Source organism: Homo sapiens, chromosome 7 (genome assembly GCF_000001405.40).
Source record: "Homo sapiens chromosome 7, GRCh38.p14 Primary Assembly".
NCBI classification, from domain to species: domain Eukaryota; kingdom Metazoa; phylum Chordata; class Mammalia; order Primates; family Hominidae; genus Homo; species Homo sapiens.
The window spans coordinates 47,876,745-47,889,447 of NC_000007.14; the positions used below are offsets into that span (position 1 = coordinate 47,876,745).

General features: G+C 47.1%; 1 protein-coding gene across 2 annotated transcripts in view, besides 1 other annotated feature; it reads right to left on the reverse strand.

Moving 5' to 3' along the window:
* PKD1L1 (polycystin 1 like 1, transient receptor potential channel interacting) overlaps window positions 1-12,703 on the reverse strand; it is a 186,293-nt gene that overhangs the window by 102,131 nt on the left and 71,459 nt on the right. For both annotated transcript variants that reach the window (XM_017011798.3, NM_138295.5), the window contains 6 exons: window positions 11,246-11,406; window positions 8,942-9,310; window positions 7,854-7,913; window positions 5,165-5,341; window positions 3,984-4,061; window positions 745-887 (listed from right to left, as the gene is read on the reverse strand). In XM_017011798.3, the coding sequence (XP_016867287.1) occupies window positions 745-887; window positions 3,984-4,061; window positions 5,165-5,341; window positions 7,854-7,913; window positions 8,942-9,310; window positions 11,246-11,406 (988 nt within the window). The remainder of the gene's footprint in view (window positions 1-744; window positions 888-3,983; window positions 4,062-5,164; window positions 5,342-7,853; window positions 7,914-8,941; window positions 9,311-11,245; window positions 11,407-12,703) is intronic.
* Window positions 11,948-12,548: an enhancer, noted in NCBI's record as "H3K4me1 hESC enhancer chr7:47928290-47928890 (GRCh37/hg19 assembly coordinates)". NCBI's record gives its function as "activates a minimal SCP1, AML or CMV promoter by ChIP-STARR-seq in naive H9 embryonic stem cells {active_cell/tissue: H9 hESC(naive)}" and the evidence as "EXISTENCE:reporter gene assay evidence [ECO:0000049][PMID:30033119]".

A 12,703-nucleotide genomic window follows, 5' to 3' on the forward strand; every position in this document is an offset into this window, starting at 1 on the left:
CCTGTCCTGCCTGCCCATCACCTGAGGCATTCATCTTTTTTTAAATTTTTTTTTGAGATAAGTCTCACACTGTCTCCCAGGCTGCTGTGCAATGGCGCGATCTCGGCTCACTGCAACCTCCGCCTCCTGGGTTCAAGCAATTCTCCTGCCTCAGCCTCCCAAGTAGCTGGGATTACAGGCACCTACCACCACACCCAGCTAATTTTTGTATTTTTAGTAGAGATGGGGTTTCACCATGTTGGCCAGGCTGGTTTGCATTCATCTTTTTAAATCCATCCTCTCATTTCACCCTCACAAGACCCTGAGCAACAAAATCACAATGGTCTTCTCCATGGCCCAGAGAAAGGGTGAGGGTAAGTCCGTGTTAGAAATGTGCCTGGGGAGGGAAAGGGCCAGGCTCCTCTCCTCACTTTGGGTCACGTGCCTGCCTTTTTCTTGGGGGCAGCATTAACGGAGGCCCCTGTTCTAACCAGGCTGCAGGGCAGACGACTCCTGGTGAGCAGGCCCTTGTCTCTTTGTGAAATTCTGAACCTTCTCAACCAGGGGGCCACTTTGCACTCCTCTCATTAGTGTGTGGGGAAGCCCATTCATGCCTAACCAACTTTCCAACATTCAACGGCAGGCTGAAATCCTTCACAGGTGGGAAGGACATTGCTGTCCATTCCTACAGCACCCGTGACTGCTGTGACTGCCAGATGCCACTGTCGGGGGTCTCTCAGGACAGACATGGGGTTGTCCACGTACCGGTTTTCCAGACATGCAGAAGACACTGAAGACGGTGTGTGCTTCCAGACCATGGTGGGGCTGCACCTGACAGGCCATGTCCCGAGGAGCCGGGTTGACTGTCAAGTACAGCTGAGCTTTACCCAGTAAGCCATGCTTCGAAGCTAAAGAGAAAGATGAAGCAGCGGTTTCACCCATGATGGAGAATTACAGCAGCATAGGAATAAGTTTTTATAGATAAACCTTATAGCAGGGGTTCTCAAAGTAGGGTCCCCAGACCAGCAGCATCGGACTAACCTGGGAATTTGTCAGAAATGAAGATTCTGGAGCCCCACCCTAGACCTGCTGACTCAGAAACTGAGACTCAGTGATAGTTTTCACATACCCTTAGGGGATTCTGAAGTTCTGGGGTTTGAGAACCACTGCCTATATGTTCATTAATATAACAAACACTCACTGGGTGGGGCAGGTACTATCCTAGGCCCTGGGGAGACAGAAGTGTCTCCCTACCTGGGAGTCACATGGCAACCACCCAGACAGAAACCGAAGCCTGAGGGAGAGATGATGCTAACAGACCCATTACCCAGCAGAGCAAACTTTCTCCATTCTCCTGGATTCTCTCAAAACCTTAGCCACATACACACGTACGTACAGCTTCGTTGAATGTATAGCACCAATACAATTTTATATTTTGTTTTATTAACTATATTAATATCATAACTATTTTCCATGTTGACATAGAGCATCCAAAATCATTGTTGTAAATAGCAGCATAAGATTACATGGAACAGATATACCCTAATACGCACAATTATTATCCCCAATGATTAAACATTTTGCTTATTTTCCATTTTCTGTTATTATTGATCACCCCATAATGATTATTCTCATACATATAGTTTTTAAATGTTTAATGTATTTGTCTTGAGATGGATTATAGAAATGAAATTTACATGTCAAATGGTTTAAAATCTTGATGATCATCATCCTCATCGTAACAGCAGGTACCATCTATTGAGCCTCTGCTACACACCAGGTGCCCTGCTAGACACTGTTCCTGTATTATCTTATTTAACAGTCACATTAACCATGGAAGACAGATCTCATAACAAAAGTAAAACCCAGGAGAAAAGGATGATGAATCCTGCCTGGCTGACCAGGGGAATCTCCACAAAAGAAGACACATTTGAGTGAGGAGTCTTGGGGTATCAGTCTTATACTGGGCTTAGGAAGGGATGTGGGGAAAAGAATGGGCATTCCAGCCAAAATAACCACAGGGAAAGACTTAGAGTCACGAGGGGGCCTGGTGTTATCTGAAGAGCACGGGAAGGGAGGGCAGCAGTCAGCGAGGGTGTGCAAGGCTGCGGGAGAGAAGGCTGACAGGAGACCTGGAGCCTGAGTGCACCACCTGGCAGCCAGCCAAGGACACTGACCAGGCTGGTGGGCCATGGAGAGACTCTCATGTGTCTCCTGCACCATTAAGGAATATGGCCCAGCTAAGAGAACTGTCTTTAGACTTGTCACTTGGGCAAATTTCAGAGGCAAAAGAAAGAGGTACAGCCAAAGGCAAAAGGTATTTGTTGAAACAAAAGCAAACGCTGCCCGTCTTGTATCCAAAGCAGGGACCCAGGGCTAGTTGTTAAATGCTAAACGTGGAAGGGGCAGGCAGATGTTTATAGAAACTGTGAGAATCAAGATGACCCTCAGGGATCTCATTGAGCCCAGCCCAGCCAGTTCTCAGGAGAAAGTGAACCTCGGGTTTCCCACTTGTATGACAATAGAGTTCACAGAGAATGCAAGTTTGCAAATTCCTGATAGGTTTTAATTAATGCAAAACTGTGGATGTTGAACCAAACCTATCTGTAGATAAAAATTGTTGGCTGGGTGCGGTGGCTTATGACTGCAATCTCAGCACTTGTGGAGGCCAAGGCAGGTGGATCGCTCACTTGAGGTCATGAGTTCGAGACCAGCCTGGCCAACATGGTGAAACCCCCACTCTACTAAAAATACAAAAAATTAGCCGGGCGTGGTGGCAGGCAGCTGTAATCCCAGTTACTCGGGAGGCTGAGGCAGGAGAATCACTTGAACCTGGGAGGTGGAGGTTGCAGTGAGCTGAGACCGTGCCTCTGCACTCCAGCCTGGGCAACAGAGCAAGACTTTGTCTCAAAAAAAAAAAAAAAAAAAGGCCAGGCACGGTGGCTCACGCCTGTAATCCCAGCACTTTGGGAGGCTGAGACGGGCAGATCACAAGGTCAGGAGATCGAGACCATCCTGGCTAACATGGTGAAACCCCATCTCTACTAAAAATACAAAAAATTAGCTGGGCGTGGTGGCAGGCAGCTGTAGTCCCAGCTATTCGGGAGGCTGAGGCAGGAGAATGGCGTGAACCTGGGAGGCAGAGCTTGCGGTGAGCCAAGATCGGGCCACTGCACTCTAGCCTGGGCAACAGAGGGACTCCGTCTCAACAAAAAAATAAAAAATAAAAAAAAAAATTAAGCCCACTGTGCTTGTCATATGGAATGAAAACCTCTAGAAATGGGGGAAAATGTCTAGAAGTTCTGCAAAACGATGATCTCAGATTGAGATAGGCATGGAAACGCAAGAAGGAATGCAGAGCAAGGGTAAGGCGAGGCCTGTGGGTGAATTTCAATGAACATCAGTGGCACAAAACAAGCAATAACACCTTTCTAGGGTTTAAATAGAGAGAGAGAGAGAGAGAGAGATTACGGACAGATTTGCAGGAAAGGAATCAACTTGTGCAGTTGTCTAGCATAAATAAGATATATATATATATATACATATATATATATATATATATTTTTTTTTTTTTTTTTGAGACAGTCTTGCTCTGTCGCCCAGGCTGGAGTTCAGTGGCGCGATCTTGGCTCACTGCAAGCTCCACCTCCTGGGTTCACGCCATTCTCCTGCCTCGGCCTCTCGAATAGCTGGGATTACAGGCACCCGCCACCATGCCCGGCAAATTTTTTGTATTTTTTAGTAGAGATGGGGTTTCACCGTGTTAGCCAGGATGGTCTCGATCTCCTGACCTCGTGATCTGCCTGCCTCGGCCTCCCAAAGTGCTGGGATTACAAGCGTGAGCCACTGTGCCCAGCCCTATATATATGTAATTTTTTAAAAAGGCAACTGCTTAGCCTTTACGCTGATGTAGACCTGCACCCCATTCCTTAGGAAGAGTAAACTCACAGAGACGCAGCAGGACTCCTCATCCTCTGATAAATGCAACTGACAATGTAACATACCCACAGACACTTGCAGGACGTACGTCTCTCCACTGCTCAGAGAGTATGGCTTGATTGTCACTGTCTGTTCTGTAATACCTGCAGAAAAGACATGGCTGCATGGAAATGACAGTCAGTGGTCTCAAGGACAGAGGTCACACAGAGTCCTTGGAAATGAGTTCCACTCTTCCCCCAGGGGTGAAATTAACATAGATACTAGTGAAACATGCCACTCCTGCTTGGAAAGGTTGCTGGTTACTGCCTTCTATAAACAGCCTGTCCTGCCCAACAGAAGCATTACTGAGGATGGTCCATCCATCCCTGGCTCAGAAATGACACTAATGTCCCAAGCAACAAGAGAATTCTGTTAGGATCTTATTTTATATGTTTATAATTATGTTCATGTTTAATTTGGCAATTTTATAAATCATACTATAAAGTATGATTAAGGAATTTTGAAGCTATTTTTAAGTCTGCAGAATACTGGTTATGGACAATTTTTAACCTGGGTGTAACTGCTGACCGTGGTGACTGGATTACTTCCTTAGCAGAGAGAGGCTGACCTCTCACTACTTACCCTGAAAAAAGGAGAGATCGGAAATACAAGATTGATGATCTAAACATGGACAGTTTCTAAAATTACAATCTTACAATAGTACTTCTCAAAATGCTTCAAGGAAAGGGTGAAGGGAAAATTATCTAAAAATAGTGTGAAATCCAGATCCTCCCCAAGAGGTCTGTAAGGATGGCACAATCACATGTATTAACACGAAAGGGGGAAATACAACAAATTGAGCAAAAGCACCATGTCTGGGCTGGGAAATTCCATTAGAAATTCAATCGCTCTTCAGGAGCAGCTTCATTTTGACCAATTCATGTAAATCCCTGACCACCCTACAAAAGGCTGTCACAGAAAAGGTGCGCACCAAGGTGTCTGGGAGCACAGAACGTGCAGCACTTGGCAGCACCCCTCTTCCGCTTTGGTCTACACACATGGATCTCCTGGTAGCAACAGACGCTAACTTTACTTTTGTTAGAAGAGTCTCAGGCCATAGTCCATAGAAGAACAAGCACAAGTAGAAAAGGTACCACAATTCTAAATACTTATCTAGTAAAACGAAAAGTTCAGAAGAAATTGAGGGCTGATATCTAAAAGCTTCAGAAACACTGCAAATTGGAGGGTACAAAGAGGACATTCATACCTGAGGATGAATAGCCTTGGAAAACTGCTCGACCCAGCAGGGCCTTGGGCCAGTCAATCATGAGGACAGGCTCGGCTCTGCCTGCAGACAGGGAGGGGTCCACCAGGTTATCCCCATCTCCAGGGCTCTCCTCGGCACTCAAGCTAGGTCCTGATCCTGGAAAGCTGGTGTCCTTAGCTAGGAAGATAAACCAAGCCAATAGATGTTAAAGAAAAAAAGTCATGATGATCTTAAAGCATTAGTGATTCAATGCTGATATTAATAACTATTTGTACTATTGCTGGATACCGCCTATCTAATATAATGTCTTCAGCAGCCAAACATATTCAAGACATGTACTTTGTTAACATGTAATTAGCGGTCCAAAGGCATCTTCCCTCCCTCCCTCCCTCCCTCCCTTCCTATCTTCCTTCCTTCCTTCTGCAAGATTTATTAAGGTCTACTAAGTCCAGGTACTACTCTAGAAATAGGAGACACAGCGTGAACCAGATCAATGGTGTCCTTGCTATCTGGAGTTAATAGTGAGGCAGTCCAAAAAATAAATGAGAAAACACATAAATAAATAATATAAACTCAGGTAATGAAGGAAAGAAAAGCGGGGTATGCAGAGGAAGAGAGAGTGGTGTGGAAAGGAAGTCCTTCTGAGATGGAGGTCAGGGAGGTCCTCTCTGAAGACTAAGACTAGAAGGAGCCCTTCAAGCATCTGAAGGAAGGAGTTTCCAGGTTGAGTAAAACCAAAATGCTGTGGGAATGATCTGCCCTAGTGGTTGGAGGGTGGGAGGGAGGGAGGGAGGGCAGGAGGAGGAAAAATGTGGCTGGAGGCATTGCCAGGGTCACATCATGCTGGGTGCACAGCCACGGGCTTTTGTCCTGAGTGCCCTAGGAAGCCACTGGAGGGACCTGTCAGGAGAGTAACAACAGCCTGGTTTGTGGTGAAGAGTCCTCTGCCTGTCATGTGATGAGATGACTGCAGGCAGCAAGAAGAGAAGCAGCGAGGGCAAAGGAAGGGCTCCTGCATGGTCTAGGCAAGAAGGAGTCGCTGCACTTCACTTAGGCTAAGGAGGCTCCTTTAAGACTTGAAACCAAGGTCACTGAAGCAAGATATAGTAATAAAACACAAATGTTGTAAGGAGGAATAATTTTATAAATGCAATACAAAGGCAGATCTTTCTTCATTCAGTTGTATTGATTAAGCACCTACTGTGAGTACGAATGTGAGCCTCTACAACAGATCTGCGTGTGTACTGTAAAGACTTTTAAATGTTCTGTATGATGATGTTTTGATATACTGAAGAACAAAATGAAACAAAAGCGTTCTGGCTAAGGAGACAGTGCTTCTCTTGGGGCTGGGGCTAGCCAACTCTTAGAGATTACAAAAGGCCCAGCCTGCAATGTGTCTTTGATTTGCAAACTGACCAATCCAGAACCACCCCCAACAAATCATCCTGGGCAACTAGAGACCACCCTTAGGCCTAGGATCTGCTGAAATTAAACTAACTGATTCTAAACTATTCATCCAGCCCTGCCTTAGCCTTGCCTTTCTTTGCCGTGGAAAACCCAAAAAAAACCTTGGCTTAAGGGCTCCCCTTGCTCCTGTCTGCTGTCTCCTGACCTCCCTGCAGCTTCCCCATGTGGCCTTGTGTGGCCTGCCATGCCTCTTGTCTCTAGGACCTGGGAGTATTTTCTTTGTTTTTCTCTCCTCTGTGGCTGCACCTGACTGACCATCTCATCCAAGAAGAGCACGACACACAGGAAGGAACATGGGAAGGGCTGGAGAAGCCGTGCAGTTGGAAGCAGCTGAGGAGGACTGTTGAAGGAAACACTGCCTCAAATCAGAGGAATAAATCATTCATTCATCATCCATTATTCCCTCGATAGATAAATCATTCACTCATCAGCCATTTATCGATTCATTCATCAAATAAGTCATTTACCTACTCATTTGACAGATAAATCATTCACTAGACATCCATCTCTTCACTAGACAGATAAATCAGTCACTCGCTGATCAAACATCTGTTCATTCGATAGATGAATAAGTCATTCGCTGATCATCAATTCATTCTACAATGTGTTTACTGAGTGCCAATGTGCCAGGGACCGTGATCCATCTGGGAACATAGCATAAGCTGGCCATGGAAGCTTTCCTGGAAGAGCTCAGAGCAGAAGACACAGACACAGAAAGAGCCACTAAGTGCCAGGTGCCACCTGCTTCCCAGAGGAGGGAATAAATACTGAGCTGGTGTGTGTGTGTGTGTTTTGGGGGTTGGGGGGAAGGCGGGGGGAGTGGTGGTCCTTACAAGACAAGCCTGAGGAAGACTTCCCAGAGAGAAATGGAGCCAGACCTGAAGGAGGAGGCTCGCTGAGCAGATAACTTAGGAAGGACGTGGAGGAAGGCATTTTTGGCAGACGACACTCCATGACCAAGGCATGGAAGAGCTGGGATGCTCATCCTTGGGCCTGGGGCTACTGTTGGGATTTTGGAGCATAGGGTGAGAGAAGGGCAGAAAGAGGGGAGCTAGAAATAAAGGTTTGGTTCAGACCGTGCCATGTAAGAGTTCAACTTTTCCCTGTGATTCTGTGGAGCTCTCAGTGGCTGTGTAAGGGAACAGGTGGGAAATCCAGATTGCAGAAAGGCTGTGGAGGAGAGCTGAGTGGAGAGAGGCAGCAGGCATAGAAGCACAGTCACCTGGCTGTCTTCCTCCCGATGGTATTGCTTCTTGAATGTCACTGTAATAGGCTTCAAAATCTATAAGAAAGGACAAAATCATAATGTTTCCTTTAAAATCACAGAATCCCCTGAAATTAACAGCAGCTCCCCTGATGGGTCACATTGTCCTTGGTGTATTTCTAGACTCCATACATTGCTCTGTGGATTACAAAATACCCTCAGTGGTGGTGTCTTCCCTCACTCATGACAGCTGGGCAAGGCAGGTTTCATTGCCCCGGGGCCCCAGGAGGAGGAGAGGGAGCTCCAATAGGTGTGTGGTTTCTAAGAATAACCCAGCAAGTAAGTTGAGACCAAGGCTCACATATGGGTCTCTGCCACCACACCCAGCATCCTATCCTCTCTTCAAGCGAGTCTTTTACTGTTCTTTTAGAGAAAATGTCTCACTCTTTTCTTTTAGAAGGAGAGAAATGGACACAAGAATGCCCTGCTGCAAATGTCGCCTCCTGTCCCCTCAGCCCTCCTTTCCCAGAGGCAGAGGAGCTCACAGCGGTCCCTCCAGCCAGCCAGCCAAGTCTGGGAGGCCTGGAGCACAGCTGAATTGACAAGAGCATGCAGAGCATGAGACCACCATAGCCCAAGAGTAAGCAGCAAAATCAGTAAGCAGCTGAGGACAGTGACAGAGAGACAGATGCCAGGTCAGAGCTTTTCTCATTATTACCTTTTCTCTCCATTTTTTAAGTACCAGAATGGTTTCCATCCCCCTGAAACCCAATGATAAAGTGAAGCAATTGATCCCAGGGCAGGGGAGAAGGATTAGGAAGCCGGTGTGGAGTAAACAACTACTGTAGCACAGACACTGCACACACGGGACCTCACTGCAGCCTCAGAACCTGCCATGGGTTTGTCATTTTCCCAGTTCAGAGATGAGGAATCCGAAACTCGATGACTATTGCACAACCAGCAAGTGGTGGGTGTGAACCTGGCGCTTTCTGATTTAAAGGCCCATGTTGATGTGATCTCACACCTTACCCACCAGATTCACTGCTTCCAAAGGTAACTTTGGTGCCTAGACAAGAGGGATGACATGCAGGAACAGTGGCACTTACCAGAGAGGTGAGGGTCAGGGCTGTGGGTGGGCTGACTTCTCTCAGAGCGGCCAGTCATCAGGGATCCCTTGCTCTGTGGCCCTGGCTCTAGGTCTAGTGAACCTTCCTCTGGAGCCTCCCCCAGGACTGCAGAGTCCCCCGCAGGAGGAATCCAGTAGACTCCAGTCATGGGCTCTGTGGGGGTTCCCCTTGGAGCTGAAGTGGCAGGTTGGCCAAGGGTCACGGGTGAAGGTTCCCGTGAGAATGGTGTGGTCGTTGCATCAGGATCTGCAGTGCCAGGCTCAGTGGGCAGCAGGTTTAACTGTGATGACTCTGAAATGGCACCGAGTCCCAGCGAGCCAAGCAGCCCCACTACTCTGCAGAAGGGAACTTAAGCAAACGTTTGGCAGTGTTAGAATTTTGCAGCAAAAATATAAAATATTTGCTTAAAAAGTCTACAGACTATGTAAGGATGCTATATTATAAACAAATCTGTTGTGAATTTGAAAACCTACACTTAAGAGATACAGGGCAGAGAGTGTGGTGTTGGCGTGTTCTGTGTTGGCATGTTGGCCAACAGCAAGAAGCACATGTATGGAAGTAGAAGGCAGGATTCACAGCGATTGCACCTGACGTTTGCTCTTCCAAGTCGGGGGGGAGGGATCTGCTGAATCCTATGCACTCCCAGGCATGACTTATTCATGGGTATTCTAGAAAAAACTTGGGATGTATGGGGTTTCTCTTAATCCTCACTCCCCTACCCGCCAGTAAGTGATATGGTTTGGATGTTTTGCCCCTCTAAGTCTCATGTTGAAATATAATCCCCAGTGTTGGAGGGGGAGCCTGGTGGGAGGTGTTTAGATCATGGGGGTGGATCCCTCACCAATGACTTAGTGCCCTCCTCGCTGTAATGAGTGAGTTCTTGCTCTGAGTTCGTGGGAAGTCTGGTTATTTAAAGGAGCGTGGCAACTGCCCTGCCGCCTCACTCCTTCTCTCACCATGTAATATGTCAGCTCCCTTTTGCCCTCCACCATGAGTAAAAGTTTCCTGAGGCCTCATCAGAGCAGATGCTAGCACCATGCTTCCTGTACAGTCTGCAGAACCATAAGCCAAAATAAACCACTTTTCTTTATAAATTACCCAGCCTCAGGTATTCCTTTATAGCAGTGCAAGAAGGGAATAATACAGCAAGTATCTAGTATAACAGTTTTCAAAACTGCTGTTAGAATTTATGATAAAGGATGAATAGCAAAGAAAAAAATACCATGAGCATATAAATGGCCTCTCAATAAAGCAAGCTTTTACTTGCAACCATGGGAGAGCCCAATTCTTTGAGACATATCTAGGGGCCATGATTTACTTTGCTGAAAGTCTAACCACTGTATGTGTTTCCACTGCAAGTTCCTCTAATCTATTCAGCATGGGCTCTGATTCAGAAAAGTTAAATTTACCTAAAAGAATTTGGAATGCCTCTCTTGCCAAGAAGGGCACAATCACCCTCTATGTCTTCATGTATCTGTGGCCGCTGAGGCCAGCTGTACCCAAAGCTCTACTTGTGGAAGCTTTGAATGGCCTCATGGAGGGGATCTTCAAGAAATGTGAAGGTCAGCGGGGGCTTGGCACCAGCTCTGTTGTAGGAGCTGGCTCTCCAGCTCAGAAATAAAGCTCCTCTGTTTGCCATTCAGAGCCACCTCTCTGATCACAAATAGTGCCACGTGAGAAATCAGTCTCGCTCCTGGTTCAAACCTTCGTGTCCTGCAGCACCCAGTGTCCTGACACCAGTGCCCAGCACGCTGCAACACATTTTACTTAGCCCTGATACCACTCTGTGAAATAGTAGGATCCTCATCTTTCACCAAAGAAAATTAAATCTTAGAATTGCTTAAAGCCACCAGCTGGTAGTGTGGGAGCAAGGATTGGAACCTTCCGCCCTGGTTCCTCTGCTCATTCCTCACTGTGCAGCTGGCCCAAAAGACAGGCGAGGTGGTGACGGACACAGCCCTCTGGGCAGTGTGTCACATCGCAGGTCCTTCTGAACTGTGGCTTTAGCTCAATAAAACTGCCTACACAGGTGTTGGGCGCAGCCTTCCATATCACACTGAGGTCAGAAGCAGCCCTTGAGTGTGTCACCTCTTCTGCTGGTGCCTCACAAGTGTTCACACGGACTGTAGAGGCAAGAGGGGCTGGGGAAGCACGACGGACCGTTCACCAGGCAGATCAGACACACTGGGTCATACCAAATGTATTTTGCAACATTTTAGCAATCTCACAATAACCCTGAGTTTTTCCCTCAGAAAACAAAATAAAGCTATTAATCCTTTTTACCTTCTATCCTATTCTTTTCTGTTGCATTGACTAAAAAGAGATCCCAGGAATAAGACAGATTCGGTATTTCACTGCAGTCCTCACACATAGCTTGAAGAGAGAGTTCGTCATTCCAGTTGACGAAGGTGTCTTTAAAGCTGACCCAGGAGATGTGGACGAATCTGAAATATATAAATTGGCTTGAGATCTTAGGAAAATAATGTGAGGGTTCTTTGGTCACATTAATTCATGTTAGGCATGTTTAAATCACCCTACTTTGGATCTTTATTAAGGGACTTCAATAGCAATGTCACAGCACATATGATGGCACATATGGAGTGGCCAACACTGTGCCAAGCTCGACACTCACGTGATCTGCTCTAACACTGTGAGATCCAGTGAGGCAAGGACACTGCCACCCTACAGAGTTCAGAGAGGCTGTGTAGCTTTTCCGAGTCACACAGCGGTGAGGGCAGAGCTGGGCCTGGTCAAGGTCCCTCTGTTTCCAAGCCTGGGCTCTGGCCCAGCTCTCCACACTAGAGCAGTTGCCACCACGTGATCCCTCTTCGCTGCCTTGCCTCAGGGCTTGCTTCTACCAGCTGCAAACCCATCCCCTCCCAAACTTTCCCCGTGGCCGTCCACCTTTGTGATTCCCACACAGCCTCAGATGCTCACAAAGAAAGATGTCTCCACTGCCTCGGCCCCGCCTCTTCCCTGTGCAGGGTTGTGGGTCATGGGCAGTTCACACATCCCATGCCCACAGCCCGGCGCCCACCTCCCTTGGGCCTGCATTCCATGGCTGCCTTCTGTCAAGCCCTCTAGTCTCTTTGCTGACCCAGCACTTTCCAGAGTGCACTTTTATGGTTTTTCATAATATCTCGGGGGTGGTTTGGGATTTAACAGATTTATTTCCTGTGGGACTTAGGGAGGGTTTAAAAGGCCAGGTCGGTAGATACTCTGGGGTGTGTGTGGTACCTGGTGTCTCCCATGCAAACATCCTATACTCTGCACCTGACGGCCCACGTCTCAGACCAAGGCCTAAGCACTCGACTCCCAGCACAGGGCTGAGGAGCCATGGTGGGAGAGGCCACACAGCGTCCTCGCCTGGCACTGGGCCCAGGCTGTGTGTGTGTGTGAAAGGGTGCATCTGTGTGGGTGCACAGTGGGGTGATGGGGGTGCAGACGGACATGGGCAAAGAGAGGTCCCTCCAGCCCCAGACCTCCTGGGGACATCATCCACATAGGCCTGGACCTTCCTGACAGGATCAAAAGATGTTCACCTGATAGCTTTGGCACATATTGAAAGACTATTTTAAAATAAATTCTGTAATTATCTCATGAGTAGCAGAGGTATATAGTACATTATATTTTTGGAATAGAAGTATTTAGTTTGTTAAATTTAATGATTAATGATTTAAATTGTGCCCCAATTGTTGTAGCCTTGTACCTGGCATTTCTTCACTTTTAGTACATATCCAG